Here is a 27,622-nt window from a genome sequence, read left to right as displayed (position 1 = left end):
TACTAAAAATTAAGAAAATGAGCCAGGCATGGTGGCATGCCTGTAGTCCCAGCTACTCAGGAGGATTAGATGGAAGGATTGCTTGAGCACAGGAGGTCAAGGCTGCAATGAGCTATGATCATGCCACTGCACTCCAGCCCAGGCAACAGAGCAAGACCCCGTCTCTTAAAAAAAAAAAAATTATTGGATGCTTAAGGTATGTGACCTTTACTGTTCATTGCTAAAAAATTATAAAATTATGTGACAATTATTTCTTTAATTATATTATGTGACTATTTTTTTAAAAAGTTTTTGGCAATCTTGAAACTCTTTTGCAATCATTATTTTACCTTTGCTTTTCTTAGGAAAGAATTTAAATATTAACAAAAGTTACAGCCTTTCATAAAGAAAATATTCACCATCCTATTTTTAATGGTCCAAATTTCATGGCCCTTTTTTTTTTTTTTTTTTTTTTTTTAGATAGGAGTCTTGCTCTGTCACCCAGCTGGAGTGTAGTGGCGCGATCTCAGTTCATTGCAACCTTCTTCTCCCTGGTTCAAGCCATTCTTCTGCCTCAGCCTCCTGAGTAGCTGGGACTATAAGCATGCACCACCACACCTGGCTAATTTTTTTTTTTTTTGAGATGGAGTCTCGCTCTGTCGCCTAGGCTGGAGACCAGTGTCACAATCTCGGCTCACTGCAACATCCACCTCCCAGGTTCACGCCATTCTCCTGCCTCAGCCTCCTGAGTAGCTGGGACTACAGGTGCCCGACACCACGCCTGGCTGATTTTCTGTATTTTTATTAGAGATGGTGTTTCACCATGTTAGCCAGGATGGTCTCAATCTCCTGACATAGTGATCCGCCCGCCTCGGCCTCCCAAAGTGCTGGGATTACAGGTGTGAGCCAAGCGCCCGGCCTAGTTTTTGTGTTTTTAGTAGAGACGGGGTTTCACCATGTTGGCCAGGCTGGTCTCAAGCTCCTGACCTCAAGTAATCCGCCCGCCTCAGCCTCCCAAAGTGCTGACATTACAGGCATGAGCCACTGCGCCTGGCCCAAATTCATGTTTTCTATAGTTGAAATAACTCAGTATTACATTTTAATGAATTTCTCCCTATTCTTTTTCAATCATTATATTTTCAAATTTTCTGGCCAGATGTGGTGGCTCATGCCTATAATCCTGGCACTTTGGGAGGCCAAGGAGGATGGATTGCTTGAGCCCAGGAGTTTTAAGACCAGCCTGGGCAACATGGCAAAACTCTATCTCTACAAAAAATACAAAAATTAGCTGGGCATGGTGGCATGTGCCTGTAGTCCCAGCTACTCAAGAGGCTGAGGTGGGAGGATCACTTGAGTCCAGCAGGTCAAGGCTGTAGTGAGCTGTGTTTGAGCTGTGTTCACACCACTGCACTCCAGCCCGGGTGACAGAGCAAGGCCTTGTCTTAAAAAAAAATTATTCTAACAAATTATTGATTATTCTCAGTTTGTATTGTCTCAGAATTTTCCTGAAGGAATGTAAAAACTAAACTCTAGCATATTTGTTCCTTTAAAACAAATGTCCTGTTAAAGAATTCTGATTTCAATGATAATATTACTAAATTAGACTAGTGGCTGAGCCAGAATCTATACCTGGCAACACAAAAGGAAAAAAGTCTAGAATAAAGTTCATAATTTGATTAAATGAAGCATCTAGTTTCCCTCTATTAGAAATTGGAAGAAATCAGCATTAGTAAATTAGTGCTTTAGTGAAGTTCTCTTTGCCGGAGGAGAGCATTTGCATGCCATCTTTGTAGAGGGTGTAATGATATTTAAGGCTTTTTGTTAGTGATCCTGATAGTAATTTTTTCATGCAAAAGGACTATATCTCATGGTATAACTGAAGCTAAAATGGTCTGGGTTGGTGACTTGAAGCCTTTCCTCAGGATTTGGGAATACAGATAGTCAACATATAAACCACCATGGAGGCCTGGCACAGTAGCTCTCACCTGTAATCCCAGCACTTTGGGAGGCCGAGGCGGGTGGATCACTTGAGGTCAGGAATTCGAGAACAGCCTGGCCAACATGGTGAAACCCCATCTCTATTAAAAATACAAAAATTAGCCAGGCGTGGTGGCACATGCCTGTAGTCCCAGCTACCAGGGAGGCTGAAACAGAATCGCTTGAACCCGGGATGCAAAGGTTGCAGTGAGCCGAGATAGCGCCACTGCACTCCAGCCTGGGCAACAGTGCGAAGCTCCATCTCAAAAAAAGAAAAAGAAAAAGAAACCACCATGGAGATTACAAATTATTATAATAATAAAAACAAGGGCCATCACGTGTAGAGCCTGCAGCAAAGCCAGATTTACTGTGAGCCTAATGAAGCTTTAGCTTCAGGTCGCCTTGCTTACCTACGTCCCTAGAAATGCCCTGGGTGGGTCAGGGAGCCTAGTTGCAATTGGAAGCATTTCTAGGTGAGCAGTTCTTGCAAATTCCCTAAAGAGACTTTAGAAAAAAAGGACTCTAAGGCTATAGTAATTTATTGTGCTAGGCGTGGTAGCTCATGTCTGTAATCCCAGCACTTTGGGAAGCCAAGGCTGGTGGATCACTTGAGCCCAGGAGTTCGAGACCGGCCTGGCCAACATGGCAAAACCTCGTCTCTACAAAAAATACAAAAATTAGCTGGGTATGGTGGTGTGCACCTGTAATCCCAGCTACTCAGGAGGCTGAGGTGGGAGGATCACCTGAGCCCACGGAGGTTGAGGCTGCAATGAGCCGTGATTGTGCCACTGCACTCCAGCTTGGGTGACAGAATGAGACCTGTCTCAAAAACAAAAACAAAAACAAAAAATAACTATCATAATTTATTGTGATGTTTTTCTCATTCTAAATAAATGCTCATTTATTTATTTTTGCAGAGACAGGGTCTCACTATGTTGCCCAGGCTGGTCTCAAACTCAAGCAATCCTCCTGCCTTGGCCTCCCAAAGTGCCTGAGCTACTGTACCTGGCCAGATATTTACTTTTGTACTGATTTTTGTCTCCCTTTAAAATTTTTTTTATTTTAAAAAAAAGATCCTTCCCCACTATTGTAAAAGTCTCAGGCTCGTGCAGTGTGGCTCCACACCAGGTCTATTAGCTTCTTGAGGGCAGAGACTGACTATATTTATTGTGTTCACAGTTGTCCACACAGATGCCCAGGGGAGGGCCTGGCCTAGAATATTTGTTGAATGAATGCCTATTATGGATCAGCTAGTTTGTTGGTTACTTGACGTACCTTATTGATAATACAGCTTCTGCAAGACAAGTCTTATTTTTCCCATTTTAGAAAAGAAATTGAAGTTTACAGTTGCAGAGCTGGGATTTGAACCCACTTTATTACACCATCCTGCTTTCTGTATGTCCTGCCAGTTCTAAATTTTGAAGCTATTCGGGAAAGACCATTTGACATATTGTTTTAAAATTACATTTTCTCTCTGCTGTACTTGGTTATTAAAAGAGCTAAATAGTCCTCGAATGAGGGTACTACATTCCACAATTGCATGTTGAGAGAAAAATATCTATATACCTTTGGAATTCAGTATCATCTAGAGAGGTCATGGAGGACCTGTCAGCAAATTTGGGGTGTTCAGAAAACCATTAGTTGTCCAAGTGCCTAGCACAGCGCTTCTATGTGTAACATTTATATGTAATTCTCGATTCACCTCTCTCCTAAAACCAGTAACGTTAGCGTTGGATTATTTTCCTCACTGATGTCAAAAGCTAAGTGAATCCCTCAGGGACCACCCCTGTGCTGGATTGTCTTCCCCTGTGAATGGTGATCTTTACACCATTGTCAATGTTAGACTGAGGCCGGGAGCGGTGGCTCACGCCTGTAATCCCAGCACTTTGGAAGGCTGAGATGGGTGGATCACTTGAGGTCAGGAGTTTGAGACCAGCCTGGCCAACATGGTGAAACCCTGTCTCTACTAAGAATACAAAAATTAGCCAGGCATTGTGGCATGCGCCTGTAGTCCCAGCTACTCTACTCGGGAGGCTGAGGCAGGAGAATCACTTGAACCCAGGAGGTGGAGGCTGCAGTGAACCAAGATAACACCACTGCACTCCAGTGTGGGTGACAGAGCAAGACTCTGTCTCAAAAAAAAAAAAAAGTTAGACTGAAAGGACAGAGATCCTTGTCTGCATAGCATTTAGAACAGCATGGCATTCAATCAAGTAATAATTAAAAGGGTCTTAGAGATGAGTGATTTTCATAACTGAATGTAACAGAACAGTAATGGAAATAAGAGCCATAGAAATTGAATAATATAAATATTAATAAGAGCTAACACATATCTAGTACCAAATGTGCCGGACACTGTTCCAGGTGTTGTGTGTATACTCTCTCACCTAATCCTCACTGAAATTCTGCGAGGTAGGTACTGTGATCATTCCCACTTAGAGGAGAGGAAACCAGGGGGTGGAGAGGTTAGGTAACTTGCACAAGGTGAATCAGGCCCAGGCTATATCGCCCTATGTGCTCTTGCCTGCCAGTTAGAGGTAGAGTGTGGACCTCAGAGGTCATTTTGTTCAATTTTTAAAAGTTTCTATTATAGATGAAGAAGCTGAACCTCCCTCTCTCCCACATAAATGACCTGCCCAAGATATCAGTTAGTGGTAAAGCTAGAAATAGAACTAAGTCCTTCACCTTCCTAGTTCACTGTCATTCCAGGATATCGTGCAAATTAAATTATGTGCCTTTGAAATACACTTTTACACCGTAGACCCGAAGGTGATTGAACAGGCTGTGAAAATGCAAGGGGTATGCAACAGACATGACACAAAACCAAGGGACAGTAGACTGAGAAAGCCTCTAAGAAACACTCAGAGGCGGCCGGGCGTGGTGGCTCATGCCTGTAATTCCAACACTTTGGGAGGCCGAAGGGGGTGGATCATTTGAGGTCAGGAGTTCGAGATCAGCCTGGCCAACATGGTGAAACCCTGCCTCTACTAAAAATACAAAAATTAGCAGGGCAGTGGTGGCACATGCCTGTTATCCCAGCTACTTGGGAGGCTGAGGCAGGAGAATTGCTTGAGCCTGGGAGGCGGAGGTTAGGGTGAGCTGATCGCACCACTGAGCTCCAGTCTGGGTGACAGAGTGAGACCTTGTCTTTTTTTTTTTTTTGACGGAGTGTTGCTCTGTTGCCCAGGCTGGAGTGCAATGGCAGGATCTCTGCTCACAGCAACCTCTACCTCCCAGATTCAAGCAATTCTCCTGCGTCAGTCTCTCGAGTAGCTGGAGTTATAAGCACGGGCTACTATGCCCAGCTAAATTATTTTTTGTATTTTTAGTAGAGACGGGGTCTTGCCGTGTTGGCCAGGCTGGTCTTGAACTCCCGACCTCAAGTGATCCGCCCACCTTGGCCTCCTAAAGTGTTGGGATTACAGACATGAGCCACTGTGCCTGGTCGGAGTCATAGTTTTGATTATGCCTGCATCCCACTTCACCACCTGGGGTGCCCCTCAGAACCCAATCAAATGGAGAATTCATCAGCATTACCTTACGTTTCATCCTGTTCATTACACAAAGTTATATACATCAACAAAAACATGTTTAGATAAGTCACTTTTATTTGTCTGAGTTTCCTTCAACCTCCAGCTATTATTTTATCCCTTTTGTCACTCTTCATCCATTTACTTTATTTATTTAAATTCAAGTCTACAAACATTTATTTAACAAATACAAGGCACTGTAATAGACATTTAGAAAAACAAGGTAGCCCCTGCCTTTAGATGATCTATGGTGTCTAACAGGAGAAAAAAATATGGAAATGAGTGAAATAAAAACAGTATGCTTTTACATTTTGATTATTGAGAAATAATAACTGAAACTAAATGTAATAATACGATTCAAAAATCACTATATGTATGTATATGTTATGTGTACATATATACATAGAAAAAAATTTGAACATTGAACAAATTGCTGGCAGTGGTTACTTCCCGTGGTGTGTGGTTAGGGAGTAAGGAAAGAAGAGAACCTTTATTTTTAACAATGTGTTTCTGTGTTGTTTGAATGTTTTGCAATACAAATGCATTATTTTTGTAGTTTAAAAAAGTTGGGTTGGGCATGGTGGTTCATGCCTGTAATCTCGGCACTTTAGAAGGCTGAAGTGGGAGGATCATTTGAACCCAGGAGTTCAAGACCAGCCTGGGCAACAAGAGTCAGACCTTGTTTCTACAAAAACTAAAAATGTTAGCCAGGTGCACCTGTAGTCCCAGCTACTCGGGAGGCTGAGGCAGGAGGATCACTTGAGCCCAGGAAGTTGAGGCTGCAGTGAGCCATGATCATGCCACTACACTCCAGCCTGGACAACAGAGTAAGACCCTATCTCAAAAAAAAAGAAGTCAAGGGTATTGGTTGAAACTGTTCCTGTTGGTGACTTTGATTGTTCTATGCTATCACTCTTCAGCTTCCCCCGACTTCCAAAAATCTCAAAGGAAAAAGCAGACTTAAATGTAAAGTTCAGCTACTCTGAATTTCATTCTATATTAAGGAATATTTTGTCCTCTATAATAATACGTTGATGTTCAAAACAATGTAAGGAGGAGTCATGTATTATACATGATTAACATGAAAGAAAAACTCATAACAGTAGACCCTGGCCCTTTACTCAAGACTTTGGTCATGTAATCTCTGGTCAAGATATGACATTAAGCAGAACCAAGCAATGAACTCCCCCAAATACTAAAAGATCCTGGCTTTCACCAACCTCAGGGTTACCCAGAAACATTTTCAAGTAACACTACTAGATCACCCAAGGATTACTTTAATTACTTCTGTGATTCACTCTTCACTGGCCAGTAAATTAGAAGGTTCTGGTCTATTCTCAGCTTCCCTACTACTTTTCAGCAACAGAATTGTTGTTAATGTTCAGTAGTTTTAATCATATCTTTTTCTTTTTAAAATAGCCTTTTTTTTTTTTTTTTTTTGAGATGAAGTTTTGTTCTTGTTGCCCAGACTGGAGTGCAGTGGCACGATCTTGGCTCACTGCAACCTCCGCCTCCCAGGTTCAAGCGATTCTCCTGCTTTAGCCCCCTAAGCAGCTGGGACTATAGGCACCCACCACTACGCCCAGCTAATTTTTTTTTTTTTTTTTTTTTGAGATGGAATTGCTCTGTCGCCCAGACTGGAGTGCAGTGGTGCGATCTTGGCTCACTGCAACCTCCGCCTTCTGGGCTCAGACAATTCTCCAGCCTCAGCCTCCCGAGTAGCTGGGATTACAGGCACACGCCACCATACCCAGCTTATTTTTCTTGTATTTTCAGTAGAGACAGGTTTCACTATGTTGGCCAGGCTGGTGTTGAACTCCTGACCTCAGATGATCCACCCACCTCAGCCTCCCAAAGTGCTGGGATTACAGGCGTGAGCCACCGTGCTCGGCCAAAAATAGGCTGTTTTCGAATGTTGAGTTTGCTCAGTAAAACTTTCTATATGTTATTACATGACTTATTTTATATTATAAAGTCATGTAAAGTTTCCCTCAGTTCATAGTTTCATCATGTCCAGCACTGTTTCCATTACTTAAAATATTTTCTGATCTCCATTTGGGTCTGATTTTCCATGTATGAGAGTGCTCATATCAAATCAAGCTGTTTAAATAGGATCGCAATATTATTCTCTGAGCATTTATAATTACGTTTATTTAAACTCTTGTTAATCATTTACTGAAGTATAACTTTTTCTACTTAATGGTTAGAAAAAGTAAATATTGCTCTCTTGAAGGTTTTAGAATACCAGTCGTAGTTGAAAAAGTTTTTTTTTTACACGATTCTTATAACTAACAGTGGTATTCTGGTTATAGAAATTCTCTTTGGCAATTCTCCACAAGCAGTTTTCATAATTTATTCAAACTTAGTTTAAAACATCTATAATAATAATAGTTTTAATGTATTTGGTCAGTATTTCTTTTTTCTTTTTTTTTTTTTTTTTAGAGATGGCATCTTTGACATCCAAGCTGGAGTGCAGCGGTGCGATCTCAGTTGACTGCAACCTCTGCCTCCTGGGTTCAAGCGATTCTCCTGCCTCAGCCTCACAAGTAGCTGGAATTTCAGGCTTGCACCACCACACCCAGCTAAGTTTTGTATTTTTAGTAGAGACGGGATTTCACCATGTAGGCCAGTCTAATCTTGAACTCCTGACCTCAAGTGATCCACCTGCCTCAGTCTCCCAAAGTGCTGGGATTACAGAGGTGAGTCACTGTGCCCGGCCTGATCAGTATTTCTTATACTGTATTTTGTTAGAGGTGTCTTAGATCGTGATGGAGATGGGTTGGCATTATATGCAGGTACCATGCCTTAGCTAATCAAATGAAGAACTGTGCTAACTCTAGATGATATGGCCGGGCACAGTGCTCACATCTGTAATCCCAGCACTTTGGGAGGCTGAGGTGGATGGATCATTTGAGGTCAGGAGTTCAAGACCAGCCTGGCCAACATGGCGAAACCCCATCTCTACTAAAAGTACAAAAATCAGCTGGCACGGTGGCTCACGCCTGTAGTCTTAGCTACTTGGGAGGCTGAGGCAGGAGAATCGCTTGAACCAGGAGGTGGAGGTTGCAGTGAGCCGAGATTGCACCACTGCACTACTCCAGCCTAGGTGACAGAGCGAGACTCTTCAAAAAAAATAAAAAAGATATTGTCAAGGGCACACTTCAGTGATTTAACATCACTTTAATGGGATGCTAAATTTTGAGCAAATAATTAAAATCATGAGGACAAATGAAAAACCCAACTTTTAATATATGAGTCAGGGGATAAATGGTTCATAGATCTCATGGACAAATTAAACATGTAGAGAGATTGTTCTGGCCTTTTAATAAGCAAAGCAAAGTAAAATATCTGCTGAGACAGTATCAAAACAAGTGATGGACATGGGTTTTGAAGCTGTAAATTTTTTTTCATTGAAGCGGGGCAGCTGATTTATGTCATCAGAACTTGCTAGCTTGGATTGACACAGATCAGACTTTAATTTTGGCTTTGATACTTATCCTCTATGTAATCTTGGGCAAATTTCTCTGGGCCTCAGTTTCATCAATTGTAAGTTGAGTTTCAGAACACCTACCTGGCAAAGCTGATGAGTGAATTAAATGAGATAATATATTACAGGTACCTAGTATGTTTCTGATATTACAGTATGTATGCAATAAAAGTTCTTACAATAGTAATTTAAAAGAATATGATAGAATGTCAAAAAGTTATCTGTAATAATTGTCTCAGTCCTTCACTTTAAGAATTAAGACTGTTCTTTATTCTTTCTTCTTTTTTTTAAAAAAGCATTTTGGGCTGGGTGCAATGGCTCATGCCTGTAATCCCAGCATTTTGGGAGGCCGAGGTTAGGAGTTCAAGACCAGTCTGACCAACATGGAGTAACTCTGTCTCTGCCAAAAATACAAAATTAGCCAGGCGTGGCGGTGTATGCCTGTAATCCCAGCTACTCAGAGGCTGAGACAGGAGAATTGCTTGAACCTGGAAGGCTGAGGTTACGGTGAGCTGAGATCACGCCATTACACTCCAGCCTGAGCAACAAGAGCGAAACTCCGTCTCAAACAAACAAACAAACAAACAAACAAAAAACCACTTTTTTGATGTGGGAGGGGAAAGTGGTGGAAGGAAGAAAGTAATAGGTTTTGTTGTTTGTTTTAACCCTCTTTCTTTCGTCCTTTGTCAAAAAAAAAAGCTTGGCTAATTTTTTAGCTATAAGACTTAGCACAAATTAATTATGATACGTTATTCTCCTGAAACCTGACTTTACCAAGGGAGTTTTAAAAAAATCCTTTTTTTCAATTAAAGAAAATAATTTCAGATAATCCTTGGAGATTTTGCTTCTATATAACCAAGACAAACTAAAAAGGCTCCATCTAGTATTTCCATTTCAAAATATTACACTTAATCTTCAAGACATTGGTGGGGGATTTGGGCAAAAGAGTCTTTAAAATGACATTTTGTTTACTTAAATGTGCCTAAGAAACACTGCAGCCTTCTTCATGTTCAAGAAAGCAGTTGCAGCAGTCCGTTGGCAAAGAAGGCTTAGCTATTAATCATGGGAATGGTGGCATTTTCACGGCTGTTTTTGCAGTTTTATTATTTACTTTTTGAGACAGGGTCTCACCCTGTCACCCAGGCTGGAGTCCAGTGGTGCCATCATAGCTTTAAACTTGAATTCTTGAGCTCAAGCAATTCTCTCACCTCAGCCTCCCCAGTAGCGGTAACTACAGGCTCATGCCACCATGCCTAGCTCATTTTTATTTTCATTTTTTGTAGAGACCGAAGTCTCACTACGTTGCTTAGGCTGATCTTGAACTCCTGGAGTCAAGCAATCCTCCTGCCTCAGCCTCCCAAAGTGTTGGGATTACCGGCATGAGTCACTGCACTTGACCCTTGTTTTTGCAGTTTAAATACTAAATTTTGTTTAATAATTTTAACAGAGCCTTTAAGAAGAGAACTATATGAAGATTTAAAAAAAGTTTTTTTTAGTTTCTTGTTGGAAAAAGTCTTTTATTTTTAAATGTAAAATATTCTCTTTACCTTCTTATGCTACTTATTTTTTTACTTTTAATTATGGAAATTGTCATAATACACAAAAATAGAAACAATAATAAACCCTCATAAACACATCACTGAGTTTTAACAGCCATCAAAATTCTGCAGCTTGTTTCAAGATGGGTTTTTAATGTACAATATTTTAAAGAGACATATCTAATTGATTTGAGTGTTCTGGAAAGACTAATGTTTAGCCTGTGTGTGTGTGTGTGTGTGTGTGTGTGTGTCTGCAATCTACTTTTTTTTTGTTGTTGTTGCAGGTTTAAATCCTTTCTGGAACAAGGTAGATCTTCCTTAAATTGAAAATAATCAATTACTCATTGAATGCCTAACACGTGTCCAGCATGTGTGAGCTTCTGTGAAGGAATTATGCCAGGAAATGTTAAAACAAAGTTAGTCAAAGAAGTGGAAAAATAGGAAAGAAATCCAGTTTTATCCTAGGCTCAGGAAAAAGTTGGTGAGGCCTTGACCTAGAGTAGGGTTTCCCAACATATCTTATCCTGAAAGCCACTTTCACAGTGTTAAGCAATCTCTTGAACCCATGAGGAATTTAAAAAATTATTTCATCATTTGTGTGTGGTAATAAAAAAATATAAAAAGCGTTGACATATGCTTTATTTTATGTAAATATACTTTATTGACTATTGTATTTTAAGGCCTATTTAAATTTAAAACATTAATAGAATAAATATTTTAAATGCTAATAACACATGCACATAAATTTGGGCATTTTACCATCTAATAAATAATGCACATTATTTAAATTATTTTCATTATGTAATAAGGACAAGCATTTTATGACTTAAATATTTTTGAAATTTTATTTATTTTTTATTTTTTTAGAGATGCAGTCTCCCTCTATCACCCAAGCTGGAGTGCAGAGGCATGATCACAGCTCACTGCAGCCTCGAACTCCTGAGCTCAAGCAACCCTCCTGTGTCGACCTCCCAAAGTGTTGAGAATACAGGCATGAGCCACTTCACCTGGCCTCAAAATATATTTCTAACAGAAAAATATTTTAGTAAACAATAGTACATAATGATACTTAGATATGTATAGATATGTATACAAACAGAAAACCAGAAAAATAGAACATAAAGTGACACATAAAAAACCAAACTTTGGACAGGCGCAGTGGCTCACGCCTGTAATCTCAACACTTTGAGAGGCCGAGGCGGGTCTATCACCCAAGGCCCAGAGTTCGAGACCAGCCTGGCCAACATGGTGAAACCCCGTCTCTACTAAAAATACAAAAATTAGCCGTGAGTGGTGGCACATTCCTGTAATCCCAGCTACTTGGGAGGCTGAGGCAGGAGAATCACTCCTTCTCAAAAAACAAACCAAAAAACCCAACCCCCACCAAACTTTGTGAAACACAATGTTATAGCATCAAAAATGGATAAACGTTGCTTATATAACATTTTGTTTGAATAGTTGAATTTTGCTTTTTTTTTTTTTTTTTTTCCTGAGACAGAGTCTTGCTCTGTTACCCAGGCTAGAGTGCAGTGGCATGATCTTGGCTCACTGCAACCTCCGCCTCCCGGGTTCAAGCAATTCTCCTGCCTCAGCCTCCCGAGTAGCTGGGATTACAGGCACCCACCATCGCGCCTGGCTAATTTTTGTATTTTTAGTAGAGATGGGGTTTCACCATGTTGGCCAGGCTGGTCTCGAACTCCTGACCTCGTGATGTGCCCACCTTGGCCTCTCAAAGTGTTGGGATTACAGGTGTGAGCCACCACACCTGGCCGAATTTTGCTTTTTAAAAAAGGAAAAGCTTTTTTAAAAAGTAAGATTAGTGTTTTGTTCATGAATGGTTAATATAAGAAAATATTAATGGTTAAGAAATAACTAATGCTTAATATAAGAAAAATGGTTTGGGGCAGCTCTTTCAAGTATTTCACAAATAAGGCAAAGCCAGGAGGGACAGTCTTTATTCTCGATATGTGAAAAGCCAAACTAGATGTAATCATGTTGATGATTAAATATTATTTCCTCTTTTAACATTTTAAAAGCACTGTTTTTTTTTTTTTTCTAAAAACAGTATAGGCTGTACATTAATTTTGAGTTTCTGTATGCAACTTACAGATCTGGTGAAGATCTCCTTGAGGCAATTGTGTAAAATAATCATTTTTATGCCCCTCATACTGGTTACATGTCAATGTCCTTGTTCTTTGTGCTTCATGTCTTTAACCAGTTGTCTACTATAGAATAAGTCAGTGGTTTTCAAAGGTGGAGTGAGGGGGAGGAATTTTGACTTCCTGGGGACATTTGGCAAGGTCTGGAGACATTTTTGATTGTCACAACACTGAAAATGGGGGAGCTACTGTCATCTAGTGAGTAGAGTTTAGATGCTGCTGAACTCCTCCATTGCACAGGACAGCCTACCACAGCAAAGAATTATCTGACCCCAAATGTCAATAGTGACCAGGTTTGAGAAATCTTTGTACTATGTAAACAGTATTTATCTATGAAAGATAACATTTTCCCCCTAACCCAATGTGACTAGTAAAAGACAAAGATTTTTAAAGTCATGAAATGGTCAAAACTGTCATGAAAGCTGGCAGTATTTTTTGTTTTATTTTATTTTATTTTATTTATTTTTTTTTTTTCCTGAGACAGGTTTTTGCTGTGTCACCCAGGCTGGAGTGCAGTGGCACAATCATAGCTCCTTGCAGCCTTGACCTCCCGGGCTTAAGTGATCTTCCCACCTCATCCTCCCAAGTAGCTGGGACTACAGGTATGTGCCACCACTCTCAGCTGATTTTTTATTTTTTGTAGAGACAAGGTTTGTCTTGTCTCTACAAAACTATGTTGCTCAGGTTAGTCTTGAACTCCTGGGCTCAAGGGATCTTCTTCCCTCGGTTTCCCAAAGTGCTAGGATTACAGGCAGGAGCAACTCTGCCCCGCTTTGGCAATATTTAGTGGAGTAATAAACAGAATGAGTTATTGTCTCATGAGCAAATTCACCTTCCCAAACCTCTGTGCATGTTTACTCAGAGACTCTCAAATGTTCCATTCTAAAAGGGAAATGTACAAATTTAAATTATTACATGTATTTATTGATTTAAAAATAGAATGAAAACAGACATTACTGCCTTTACTAATGTGAACCCTTGGGGCTTTGCTGCATAGGCCAAATACATTTCTGGGATTGAAAAAACTAAACTTGGGAGAGAGAAATCTTTCCTCTACAAAGGAGAAGATGACACAACCCGAGGAAGAAATGGACGTGAGAGGCTGAAATAAAGGGCCTTCCTGGTCACTGAGCCCATTCATCCCTGTGGTCTGGTTACTGAGCCAGGAAATTGCCCCTTTTTGCTTTAGCCAATTTGAATTAGATTTCTGTAACTTGCCACCAAAAAAGTCCTGACTAATATACCACCCGATTAATATCAGTAATATTTCGACAGTTTGCAATAATGCAATGAAATATGAAGATTGAACTTGAGATTAGTTTTTGATTACAGTATTTAAGACAGAAATCCTAAACCATTCATTTAACCAACATTTACACCTAATATGTACAAATATTCTGTGCTAGGTGCTGAGAACATAAAGGCAAATTTAAAAATTGTCTCTCCTTTGAAAGAACTCTCAGTCTAGCTGGGGAGATGGAAAAGTATCATGTCGTATGAGTGCTATGCTAGAAACAAGCCCATCTTATGGGAGCCAGCAGAAGGGGCACTTAAATCCTAAAGGGGCAAGAATGACTTGGAGGCAGTGACCATCACGAAGTAAAGAGGGCATTTGAGCTAGACAGAGTGGGATAGTTGAGGCTGGGTGGAGAGAAATAGTAAGGAGAGACTGAGACACTGGCAGTAGTGTGTTATGATCGAATATGAAGTGCAAGAGGATGGGAGAGTGGCCAGGAAGGAGGCTGGGAACTGTATCTCAAAGGTCTTGGTGAAAAATTGAGACTTTATCCCCAAAGCTTGGGGGGGCCACTAATGGATTTTACACAGGGGAGCAATATCACGCATATTCAAAATATCACACTGTAAGATGAGGATAATAGTTACCTGGCAAGATTGTTGTAAAGAGTATAGATAATATTTATTTATTTATGTCCTTTTGGAATGTAAATGTTCATAATATTTCTCTTTTTAAAAATATTTTTAAAATTTCAATAGTTTTGGGGTACAAGTGGTTTTTGGTTACACGGATGAATTGTATAACGGTGAAGTCTGAGATTTTAGTGTACTCATCACCAGAGGAGTATACATTGTATCCAATATGCAGTTTTTTTATCCCTTACTCCTCTCCCAGCTTCCCTGTTCTGAGTCTCCAAAGTTGATTATATCCTTCTGTATGTAGGTATATATCATTCTGTATATATAGTCCATTGTATCATTCTTATATAGTGGGAGCTAAGCTATGGGTATGCAGATGCATACATAAGCTCAGTATACCCATAGCTTAGCTCCCACTATATGAGAGAACATATGGCATTTGGTTTTCCATTCCTGAGTTACTTCACTTAGAATACATAGATATTATTTCTTTTTTCTTTAAATAGAGAAGGGGGTCTTGCTATGTTGCCCAGGTTGGTCTCAAACTCATAGGCTCTGGGATTACAGGTATGAGCCACCATGCCAGGCCTAGAGATGATATTTAAAGTGATGATTACCGTGCTTAAAAATGGCCAAGCCAGGGCCAGGAGCAGTGGCTCACACCTGTAATCCCAGCTACTCGGGAGGCTGAGGCGGGAGAATCGCTTGAATCCGGGAGGCGGAGGTTGCAGTGAGCTGAGATCGAGCCACTGCACGCCAGCCTGGGTGACAGAGTGAGACTCTGTCTTAAAAAAAAAAAAATGGCCAAGCCAAAAAATACATCCTCATTCTATTTCAAATGCTGTTAAAAACAGCTTTGACGGGAGACTGAGGCAGGAGAATGGCGTGAACCTGGGAGGCGGAGCTTGCAGTGAGCCGAGATAGCGCCACTGCACTCCAGCCTGGGCGACAGAGCAAGACTCCGTCTCAAAAAAAAAAAAAAAAAAAATCAAAACAAAACAAAACAAAACAAAAAAAACCTTAGTTTTGAGGCCGGGCGCTGTGGGTCGGGAGTTCCAGACCAGCCTGACCAACATGGAGAAACCCCGTCTCTACTAAAAGTACAAAAAATTACCCAGGCGTGGTGGCACTTGCCTGTAATCCCAGCGACTCGGGAGGCTGAGGCTCCCGCTTGAACCCGGGAGGCGGAGGTTGCAGTGAGCCAAGATTGTGCCACTGCACTCCAGGCTGGGCAACAAGAACGAAAACTCCGTCTCAAAACAAAACAAAACAAAAACAAAAACTTAGAGTTGGTTCATCCATTAGTAGGTGTGATTATGGAAAATTTTTACCTGAGTCTTAGACCCGCATTAAGGTACTCCCTACATCTGCAATAAAGTGGAATCTAAATTGCAAGTCAGCCTTGGGACCCTCTGGACCATTCAGGTTTCCTCCAAATGGGAACATTTCAAACCGAGATGGAGTTTTCCAGATCATTCTGGAACGAAAAGGACCCCAATAGCCACTATGAAACCTTTTCTCTATCTGAGAAGTGGGGAATGAAGGGGTCCATACCCCCCCAGAATTCAGTTTTATATTAGGCTTGTGTAGCTCAATAAATGTTTTCGGTCTAAAAACTATTCCTAAAGAATGCTTCTTCTGGGTCACAAGGGGGCAGGAGAAGGAAGAAATACTTCATTGCAACGTAAAATATCAAATTAATGTTTTCTACGTGAAAGTCAAGACAGCGAGGGGACAAGTGGGAAAAACAAGTTCACCTCAGGCTACCAAATCATTGCAAGATTTCTTTAGTGCTATACGTCACTGGGTCATGCAGTGTATTTCACTTTCTGACTGATTTCAAGGACCCCTCACACCATTTATTTAGTCTAGTGATTTAGAACTTTTAAGGCAATACAAACATTATTTGGAAAACACAATAGTTGAAAAACATATCCCTCCATTTAAAATAATAAAATTTATCTCACGATCATAAAGTGCTAATTTTGTGTTAAAGGCAGAGAATATCTCAAATTAGAGGAAAATGAAAACATCTGAAAATATGTCATTTTATCAACTATGTTTGGAAGCAATATCTGTTAAAGCTTTTTGCCTGTTTATTCTTATCAGCCAATTTTAAGGCTTTAATCCTTAAAATACATTTTCATGAAAACTCTAATTGTTGACATTTTTCCAGGTAATGACTTTTCAACAATTTAGAATATTTTTCTTTATACAAAGGTTAAATAAACATATTCATGCATGTATTTGCATAGAAAACTTTAAAAAGAATGTATAAGAAACTATTAACAGTAGCGTCCTTGGCCTGGGATTGTCAGGTGAAGAGAGGGAGAGGGATTTAACTTTTTCACTTTAGATCCTTTGGTACAATGTGATATTTTTATTTTTTATTTATTATTTTTTTGAGACAGAGTTTCACTCTCGCCCAGGCTGGAGTGCAGTGGCGTGATCTCGGCTCACTGTAACCTCTGCCTCCCGGGTTCAAGGGATTCTCCTGCCTCAGCCTCCCGAGTAACTGGGACTATAGGCACGTGCCACGACGCCCAGTTAATTTTTGTGTTTTCAGTAGAGAGGGTTTCACTATGTTGGCGAGGCTGGTCTCAAACTCCTGATCTTGTGATCCACCTGCCTTGGCCTCCCAAAGTGCTGGGATTACAGGCATGAGGCACTGTGCCCGGCCCAATCTGATATTTTTAAATGTACATGAGCATGAATTGTTTTAAAAATTAAAAGGACTGGCTGAGCGCAGTGGCTCACACCTGTAATCCCAGCACTTTGGGAGGCTGAGGCAGGTGGATCATGAGGTCAGGAGTTGGAGACCAGCCTGGCCAACATAGTGAAACCCCTCTCTACTAAAAACACAAAAATTAACTGGGCTGGTGGCATGTGCCTGTAGTACCAGTTACTCAAGAGGCTGAGGCAGGAGAATTGCTTGAACCTGGGAGGTGGAGATTGCAGTGAGCCAAGACTGCGCCATTGCACTCCAGCCTGGGTGACAGAGTGAGACTTTGTCTCAAAAAAAAAAAAAAAGAAAATTAAAAGGACTAAATGAGAGGAATATTTTTCTAACTTTTGTATGCATAATCTTGATAACTGTTAAATACCTATACAATTTCTACCCTTTAAGGTCTTATTTTGTCAAATCACAGTATACCCACACATTAATATGTTCTATATACAACTCTAGTCAAAGATATGCAAATGACCTTGAAATCATAATGCAATCTGTTTACCTCAAGGGCAGATGTATCTGAAACCATAGTACAATGCACATGTGTAATAATCCAGAAAAGTTCAAAAAGAAAAGAAGTGATAGCAGATATTTTTGTATGTACAAATTTAGACATGGAATTATTTTATGTTGCTGTATTTTTTTTCTACTTCTGTATATTTAGCTTTTGATTATTAATAATTAAATTACTTTTTGTAGCACATTATAAAATTATATTGATAAAGTTTTTTCATTTTTAAAATGTAACAGGTGTGCAGAATAATTTATTTTTCCTAAGTAAACTATTTGACTCAAAAAGTTAAATTCGATTCTAGATATTAGCCTCAATGTGAGGCTAAATCTCTTGCAAATTCCTGAGTCTTCTTTTCAAAGCATTCTTAATGAAGACAGTTAGTGTTAATTATGTTGTCATTTAAAAAATCCATGTCCACAACAGCTGTATTTTACTCCTTAACCTTGGGAAAATTATTTAATCTCATTAAGCTTCAGTTTCCTCATCTTTTAAATGGGAAGAATAATAAAACTAGTTCAAAAGGCTGTTAAGAGGATCAACTGTAACGATGCATGTAAAATACTTAATGTAGTCTGTGGTACATAATAAGTACTCAGTAATTATTACCTATTATTTTGCTTGTATTTTCACTATTGTTTTACTAATTTTAACATTTCTCAACATTATCTCTAGCTTTTGAAATATATTGCTTGAAAATTGCTTTAGTAGAGCACATTCTTCCCAGTTCTTATGGGAAGAAATGTGTTTAGCTCCCATAACAATTAATCTTCTCTTTTTTGCTATGTAACACAAATAAAATCAAAAGTGAAGTATATTTAAATTTCTGTATTTAATATGCATGAGTTAGCTAACATTTATTTGGCTTACTTATTTACTTACTTTATTTACTTATTAGCTAAGTTAGCTATACTTAACAACAAATACATATTTGAAATGGTTGTGCCTTAAGATAATTCTGAAATGATTGCATGTTGTCAGAAAAGGGTTCCAACAATTAAATTTATGAAGCACTGTTTTCCCACAGAATGAAAGTAAGCTCATATATTCACACTGTAGTGTATAATGGTAGATTTAAAAATAGCCTCAAAGTGCAACTTTTGAAAAAACTAATTGGATTAATACATTAAAAATACCTTAGATAAATAAAACATACACTAACTTAAATGCAAAATTTGAGGATAGATCTTTTGAATTAGCTTAAAATCAGTTGCCTTGATTTCAGTGAAGAGAATTACTGAGGCAGAAGGTAAATTCTTAAATTCTTAGTGTTTTCTGAAGCTATAAGAAGAAGCTAGCTGTACAGTACCTTGATCAAGTTGTGTCCCACAGTGTAGACAGCTGCTAAATTTCCCTTCTCTCCAGGGGCATGCATACCTGTCCCATACCCATGCCAAGCCACTAGATATGGGTTGTGAATTGTAATCCAATATTTGACACGGTCCCCAAACATCTGGAAACAGTATGTGGCATAGTCATTGAAGATATCTATTATGGTATCATTTTTCCACCCCCCATATTTTTCTTGTAGTGCCAAAGGCAAATCCCAGTGGTATAAAGTAACTATAGGTTCAATGTTTCTAAGCACTAGAGCGTCCAGAAGAGTACTGTAGTACTGCAGACCTTTTGCGTTGGCAACTGTTACTATTCCATCGGGGAAAAGCCTTGGCCAGGAAATTGAAAATTGATAAAAAGAAACTCCTATAAAATCCAGGGCTGATAAGTCTTTTTCCAGAAAAATATAACTGTCACTGGAACCATTCGTGCTGCTGACATTTTTAAGGTGTGTGTGGATGAAATGATCCCATATAGAAGGTCCTTTTCCATCCTTCTTCCAACTCCCTTCCACTTGCAATGCTCCAGTCCCAATACCCCAGAAAAAGTTTTTAGGGAAAGTGTCATAGAGAAACAGCTGACTTTCATTTACCGGAGTAAAATTAGGATTTTTAGACCATATAGCTCTTCCATCTCCAGAGAATCCAGTAACAGCTCGTAGCAGAATAAGTGCTGACAGGATGACAGATCTTTGCAATCCCCCGTTGGACATTGTATTCCTATAGCGTGTGGTTATTTCATCAGTGCTGAAGAAAATCCATTCATTCCCTGGAGATCCTGCCGCACAGCCTGGCTTCATTTGCCACCAACTGCTGGACTGTCTTATCAAAGCTTCAGTAAAAGCTTGTGATTGTAAAGCTCTGTCAATGATTAGCTTGAACTGGGAGACTGAGGATGGGTCATAGAGAGCAACGTAATTTGAGGGAGGTGGCCCTATTGCAGTCACCAACGCGTCTCCTTCTCTCTCATTATGGAAAAAATTAGATGAAAATGCATCGGTGACAAGAGTTTGAATGTGTAACTAACACATATGTAAACACTGGATTAAAATCACATTATTTTCCGTGTAGCCTTTCATATTGACCCAAATCTTTTCTGAATGTTTTGAACATTATTGAATAAGGTATATAGCTTTTCTATTTTTAGAGTTTTTGTGTGGTAATTTTATAATCTCATATATCAAGAAAAATAACATATACAAGTATATAGCATTCCTACATACCAATAGTAAAGAATTAGAAAACACAATAAGAAATTACACTTCTCCACAAAATTATAACGCATCTAAGAACAATCTTAATAAATGTTACCTATTTTAGGAAAATTGCAAAAATGTATTGGTAGATTTGAGAGAAGACTTGAATGAGAAAATATAGCACTTTGTGGATGGAAAAATGAAATACTTTTCAATTTAATACATTTAACTTAACTAAAATCCTCTAATCTCTAATTTTATTTTTTATTTTATTTATTTAACTTAACTAAAATTCTCTAATCTCTAATTTTTTAATTAATTAATTAATTTTTAATAAGAGTCTTGCTTTGTAGCCTAGGCTGGAGTGCAGTGGTGTCATCACAGCTCACCGCAGCCTCAACTTCCCAGGCTTAAGCAATCCTCCCTCCTCAGCCTCCAAGTAGCTGGGACAACAGGCACATGCCACCATGCCCAGCTGATTTTTGATTTTTTGGTAGAGGTGGGGTCTAGCTATGTCCCCCAGGCTGGTCCTGAACTCCTGGGCTCAAACAGCCCTTCTGCCTCGGCCTCCTAAAGTGCTTGGGATTATAGGTGTGAGCCACCATGCCTGGCCTAATCCCAAATTTTAGTTCAAGAAAATTATTACGAAAGGCCAGGCACAGTGATTCATGGCTATAATCCCACCACTTTGGGAGGCCAAGGCAGGCAGATCACTTGGGGTCAGGAGTTTGAGACCAGCCTAGCCAACATGTTGAAACCCCGTCTCTATTAAAAATACAATTAGCTGGGCACGGTGGTGGGCACCTGTAATCCCAGCTACCTGGGAGGCTGAGGCAGGAGAATCTCTTGAACCTGGGACGTGGAGGTTGTAGTGAGCTGAGATCGCACCACCGCACTCCAGCCTGGGCAACAGAGCAAGACTCGGTCTCAAAATAAAAAAAAAAAAAAAAAGAGAAAATTATTATGAAAGTTCCCTTGAAGAATAGGCAATATTTATTTTTAAAAAGGAAAGAAAAACCTGAAAAAGAAAATAGCAAAGGCATAGACTACCTTCAGCATGATTCTGGAATAAAGATAAACATACAGAAAGAAATACATGCACATACAGAAAGAAATATTGTACCAAATCGATAGCCTCCAAATAACCTGTAAAAAATTTAATGTTTTACAGCCTGGGGAACATAATAAGGCCCCATCTCTACAAAAAAAATTAAAAACTAACCGGGTGTGGTTGTGCATGCCTGTAGTCCCAGCACTTTAGAAGGCCAAGGTGGGAGGATTGCTTTGAGCCCAAGAGGTCAAGACTGTAGTGAGCCATGATTGCACCACTGCACTCCAGCCTGGGTGACAGAATGAGACTCTGTCTCAAAAAATAATAAATAAATAAATAAATAAATGTTTTAAATATTTGAAGTATCACATATGAATGAGAAGCAGAGTGGTTAATAGTTTGGTCTCTGTGCCAGATGAGGTGGCTCACACCTATAATCCCAGCTACTTAGGAGGCTAAGTGGGGAGGACTGCTTGAGGCCAGGAGTTTTGAGACCAGCCTGGGCAATATAGTGAGACTATCCTCACCTCTAAAAAAAGATGATTGAGGCCCGGCACAGTGGTTCGCACCTGTAATCCCAGCACTTTGGGAGTCCGAGGCGGCTGGATCACCTGAGATCAGGAGTTCGAGACCAGCCTGACCAACATGGTGAAACCCCATCTCTACTAAAAATACAAAATTAGCTGGGCATGGTGGCACATGCCTGTAATCCCAGTTACTCGGGAGGCTGAGGCAGAAGAATTGCCTGATCCCGGGAGGTGGAGGTTGCAGTGAGCCGAGATCGCGCCATTGCACTCCAGCCTAGGCAACAAGAGCAAAACTCTGTCTAAAAAAAAAAAAAAAAAAAAAAAAAAAAAAAAAAAAAAAAGAGAGATTGAGCCTCTAGAGGCAGACTGCCTGAGTTTAAATATAGCTGTGTAACTTGCCCTCAGTTTCCTCTTTAAGAAAAGGCATAATAATAATATGCACTTCATGGATTATTGTGAGAATTAAACGAGTTAATACACTGAACCAAATGGTTTTCTCTGGAATATAGAAACGAATGAGCCAGTACATGTAAGGCACTTGGAACAGAGACTGACACATAGTAAGTTATGTGCTAATATTATTTTTGTGTGAAAGGGAAAGATTATTCAGGACATGATGCCAGGATTTAGCATAAAAGACAATTTGTTCTGGCTCCTGCCCACATTTTTAGCTTCACTTCTCTCAGTTGACTAAGGGGTACACAGCCTGCTAACTTGTAGCCCTGTACCTTGGTATGTGTGCTCTCTGCACAGAGTATGTTTCTCCCTTCATCTAGCTCATGTCTATCTTTTTTTTTTTTTTTTTTTGAGACGGAGTCTCACTCTGTCTGCCAGGCTGGAGTGCAGTGGCGGGATCTCGGCTCACTGCAAGCTCCGCCTCCCAGGTTCACTCCATTCTCCTGCCTCAGCCTCCTGAGTAGCTGGGACTACCGGCGCCCGCCACCACGCCTGGCTAGTTTTTTGTATTTTTAGTAGAGACGGGGTTTCACCGTGTTAGCCAGGATGGTCTCGATCTCCTAACCTCGTGATCCGACCGTCTCGGCCTCCCAAAGTGCTGGGATTACAGGCGTGAGCCACAGCGCCCGGCCGTCTTTTTTTTTTTTTTTTTTTTTTTAACTTTTAAGTTCAGGGACACGTGCAAGTTTGTTACATACGTAAACTTGTGTTATGGGTGTTTGCTGTATGGATTATTTCAGCAGGCAGGTATTAAGCCTAGTACTCATTAGTTTTTTTTTCCTGATCCTCTCCTTCTTCCGACCCTCCACCCTCTGATAGGCCCCAGTGTGTTATTTCCCTCTATGTGTCCAGGTGTTCTCATCATTTAGCTCCCACTTATAAGTGAGAACCTGCGGTATTTGGTCTTCTGTTCCTGCATTAGTAAGGCCTTTCTGACTCCCTATGACTCCCTAGCCTGATTGGATTTAGATGGATCTTCTGTTTTCCCATGGCAGCCCATGTTTTCTCTATTATGACACACAATAAATCAGCTAACCACACAATAAATGTATCTGTATCCTCTGTTTGAGTGTAAGTTTTCTCTCTCTCTCTCTGTTTCTCTCTCTCTCTCTCTTTTTTAAAAACCAAAACAGGGACCATGATTGGTTCCCTGTTGATTGTCTGTGGCCCAGCATGGTACTTGACATATAGCAGTCACTAAAGTATTTACTGAATGAATGAGAGTATCTATAGTAGGCTGGGCATGAGGGCCCACACCTGTAATCCCTGCACTTTGGGAGGCTGAGGCAGGAGGATCGCTTGAGTTCAGGTGTTCAAGACTAGCCTGGGCAACATAGTGAGAATTCATCTCTACTAAGAAAAAAAAAGTAGCTATAGTAGACTATGTATACCTCTATCACTGCATTTATCACATAATCCTGGAGTTGTTTGTCTCCTCCACCACACTGTAAGAATATCTCCTATCTAAATGTTTATAATTGCTTATCAGAGTAAATGATTAATAATTATCTATTGAATGAATGGAGTTGGTACATTACTATTTATGAAAATAAAATTTTAAATGCAATATCTTAGATCCTCACAAATATATTTAATTCAAAAATGTATAACCACAGAAATGGTTAAGATGGTACATTTCATATTACTTGATTTTACCACAATTTAAAAAATATAGCCACAGAAAATTAAAGAAAACAGAAGTAAATATTAAATTATGTAAATGTGTAGATTATATATATTATTCTATTTACATATGATGATATATAAATAATTTATAATTAAAATATAAAAAATAAAATTTAAAGGCAAATAACAAACTTGGAAAATGTCAAAGCAAATCTAGAAGGCAAATGGCCAAAGTAAGGCAAATGGCCATAAGTAATTCATGCAAATCAACAAGAAAGCCACTAAATCTCTAACAGATAAATGGCCAAACAACATGAATTTAAAAATACACAAAAGAGGAAATGCAACTAGTGAAAAATGTGGCTAATAAAAAATTAAACCATGAGTAATTAGAAACATACATAAAAAGAGGTATATAATATTTAATCTTTTTTTTTTTTTTTTTTGAGATGGAGTCTTGATCTGTCACCCAGGCTGGAGTGCAGTGGCACGATCTAGGCTCACTGCAACCTCTACCTCCCAGGTTCAAGTGATTCTCCTGCCTCAGCCTCCCGAGTAGCTGGGATTACAGGTGTCTGCCACCACTCCCGGCTAAGTTTTGTATTTTTAGTAGAGACAGGGTTTCACCATGTTGGCCAGGCTGGTCTCGAACTCCTGACCTCAGGTGATCTGCCTGCCTTGGCCTCCCAAAGTGCTGGGATTACAGGCATGAGCCACCGTGCCTGGTCAATATTTTATCTTATAAAATTAGCAAAAATAAAAATGATAAGTGATGAAAACCAGTGTTGATTAGATTGTTGATTGCAATGTAAGTTTGCACAATACTCATGAAAAGTATATATGTGTGTGTATGTATATATATATATATATATATATATTTTTTTTTTTTTTTTTTTTTTTTTTTTAAAGATAGAGTGTTGCTCTGTCGCCCAGGCTGGAATGCAGTGACGTGATCTCAGCTCACTTCAACCTCTGGCTCCTGGGTTCAACCAATTCTCCTGCCTCAGCCTCTCAAGTAGCTGGGATTATTTAAACGCATACCATCACAGTTGGCTATTTTTGTTTGTTTGTTTTTGAGACAGAGTCTCGCTCTGTCACCCAGGCTGGAATGCAGTGACGTGATCTCGGCTCACTGCAACCTCCACCTCCCAGGTTCAAGTGATTCTCCTGCCTCAGGAGAATTGTTATATTTTTAGTAGAGATGGGATTTCACTGTGTTGGCCAGGCTGGTTTTGAACACCTGACCTCAAGTGATCCACCTGCTTCAGCCCCCCAAAGTACTGGGATTACAAGCCTGAGCCACTGTGTCCGACCACATGGAAAGTAATTTTCCAATATACCATGAACCTAAAATTTTTTGATTCAAGAATTTCTGAAATATATTGTAATGAATTGTTTCTAAATATATAAAGTCCTCCATGCAAAAATATTTTTATAGCAATATTATTTATAACAGAGGAAAATTATAAATAATTTAAAGATCCATCTATAGGGGAATACTTATCTAAGGCATGGAATATTCATTTGAATATTCATGAAATGTTGTAGAGTCAGTAACATTTTCAGAGAATATATAGTAGCATTAAAATACTTAAAAAACCATTAGAACAATAACCACATATAGAAATTATAAGAAAATGCCCACATTTTGCCATATTGTGTTTGGACGGTGAGCTAAGGGTTATAGTTATTTTTCTTCTTTTGTATATTTAATCTGATTTTTTAACTTTTAATAACAAAAATGGGCCAGTGCAGTGGCTCATGCCTGTAATCCCAGCACTTTGGGAAGCTGAGGCAGGTGGATCACCTGAGGTTGGGAGTTCGAGACCAGCCTGGCCAACATGGTGAGACCCCCCCATCTCTACTAAAAATACAAAAATTAGCCAGGCATGGTGGTGTGCACCTGTAGTCCCAGCTACTTGGGAGGCTGAGGCAGAAGAATCGTTTGAACCTTGGAGGCAGAGGTTGCAGTGAGCTGAGATCGTGCCGCTGCATTCCAGCCTGGACGACAGAGTGAGACTCTGTCTCAAAACAACAACAACAACAAAACCCAAAAATGAACATTAAAAGAATACAAATAGTTGATATTAGATGTAAAAGTTTATTGAAACCCAGGCGTGGCGGTGTACACTTATAGTCCTAGCTACTTGGGAGGCTTAGGCAAGAGGATTGTATGAGCAAGGAGTTCGAGGCTTTAGTGCAGTATAATTGCGCCTGTGACTCGCCACGGCACTCCAGCCTGGACAACATAGTAAGACCTTGCCTCTTAAAAATAAAGTCTATTGGAGAAACTAGATACTTTCCTACTAAGATTAGGAATAAGACAAGGATGTCTGTTCTCATCACCTCTATTCAACATTACGCTGGAAGTTGTAGCTAATGCAGTAAAACAACAGCAACAAAAGAAATAAAACATACAGAAAGGGAAGCAACGAACAAAACTGTGTTTGTTCACAGATGATAATGATTGTCTATGTAAAAACTTCTAAAGAACCAACCAAAGAATCCTGGCACTAATAAGTGATTACAGCAAGGATGCAAGATACAAGATTTTTTTTTTTTGGTAAAAACAAAATGTGTTTTTTTTAATTAAAAAGTATGAAGTCTGCCACTAAACTCTCGAAGCAACCCTTTTTTCTAATCCCCTTCTTGTGTCAAAGAATGTGTTGCAGTTGATTACTTTGTGGTGGTTTCCAAATGGGCAGGTGGCAAGTTCTCTTGGATTTCAGCTTCTACAGTTATCCAAAATCAGCGTCAGCTGAGCTATGCTCCCTCTGAAGGCTCTGAGGGAGAACCCTTCCTTGAGTCTTCTGGTGGCTCTTGACATTCTTTGGCTTGTGGCAACATGATTTTAATTTCTGCTTGTTTCACATGGCGTTTTTTTAGACAGAGTCTTGCTCTGTCGCCCAGGCTGGAGTGCAGTGGCATGATCTCAGCTCGCTGCAACCTCCACCTCCCAGGTTCATGCCATTCTCCTGCCTCAGCCTCCCGAGTAGCTGGGACTACAGGTGCATGCTACCACACCTGGCTAATTTTTTGTATTTTTAGTAAAGACGGGGTTTCACCATGTTAGCCACGATGGTCTCGAACTCCTGACCTCCTGATCTGCTTGCCTCGGCCTCCCAAAGTGCTGGGATTACAGGTGTGAGACACCACGCCTGGCCTTTTTTTTTTTTTTTTTTTTTTTTGAGATGAAGTCTTGCTCTGTTGCCCAGGCTGGAGTCTGGAGTGCAGTGGCACAATCTCAGTTCACTGCAACCACCATATCCCAGGTTCAAGCGATTCTCCTGCTGCAGCCTCCCGAGCAGCTGGGACTCAGGCATGAGCCACCATGCCTAGCTAATTTTTATTTTTAGTAGAGATGGGGCTTCACCATGTTGGCCAGGCTGGTCTCCAACTCCTGACTTCAGGTGATCCACCTGCCTTGGCCTTCCAAAGTGCCGGGATTATAGGCGTGAGTCACTGTGGCTGGCCTCACATGGCCTTCTTTGTGTCTTTTCCTCTTCTTGTTTTTCCTTTTTCTTTCTTTTTTTTTTCTTCAGAGAAAGGGTGTCACTCTTGCCCAAGCTGAAGACAAATAAAGAATGCTTCACAAATCTTTTTTTTTTTTTCAGAGATAGGGTGTCACTCTTGCCCAAGCTGAAG

At 39.9% G+C, this 27,622-nt stretch overlaps 1 protein-coding gene and 1 non-coding gene across 2 annotated transcripts in view; both read right to left on the bottom strand.

Annotated features, from left to right (window-relative positions):
• The window catches only part of KLB (klotho beta), a 44,604-nt gene extending 24,663 nt beyond the window's left edge, over positions 1 to 19,941 (bottom strand). Inside the window, exon 1 of the mRNA NM_175737.4 lies at positions 19,097 to 19,941. Within this exon, the coding sequence (NP_783864.1) occupies positions 19,097 to 19,921 (825 nt within the window). The 5' untranslated portion in view covers positions 19,922 to 19,941. The remainder of the gene's footprint in view (positions 1 to 19,096) is intronic.
• On the bottom strand, positions 14,897 to 14,961 carry MIR5591 (microRNA 5591). Its single transcript, NR_049857.1, has one exon. It is a non-coding gene; the product is annotated as a microRNA 5591 (primary transcript).

The sequence above is a fragment of the Homo sapiens genome, chromosome 4, assembly GCF_000001405.40.
Source record: "Homo sapiens chromosome 4, GRCh38.p14 Primary Assembly".
NCBI lineage: Eukaryota > Metazoa > Chordata > Mammalia > Primates > Hominidae > Homo > Homo sapiens.
This window is presented reverse-complemented; position numbering and strand designations above follow the sequence as displayed.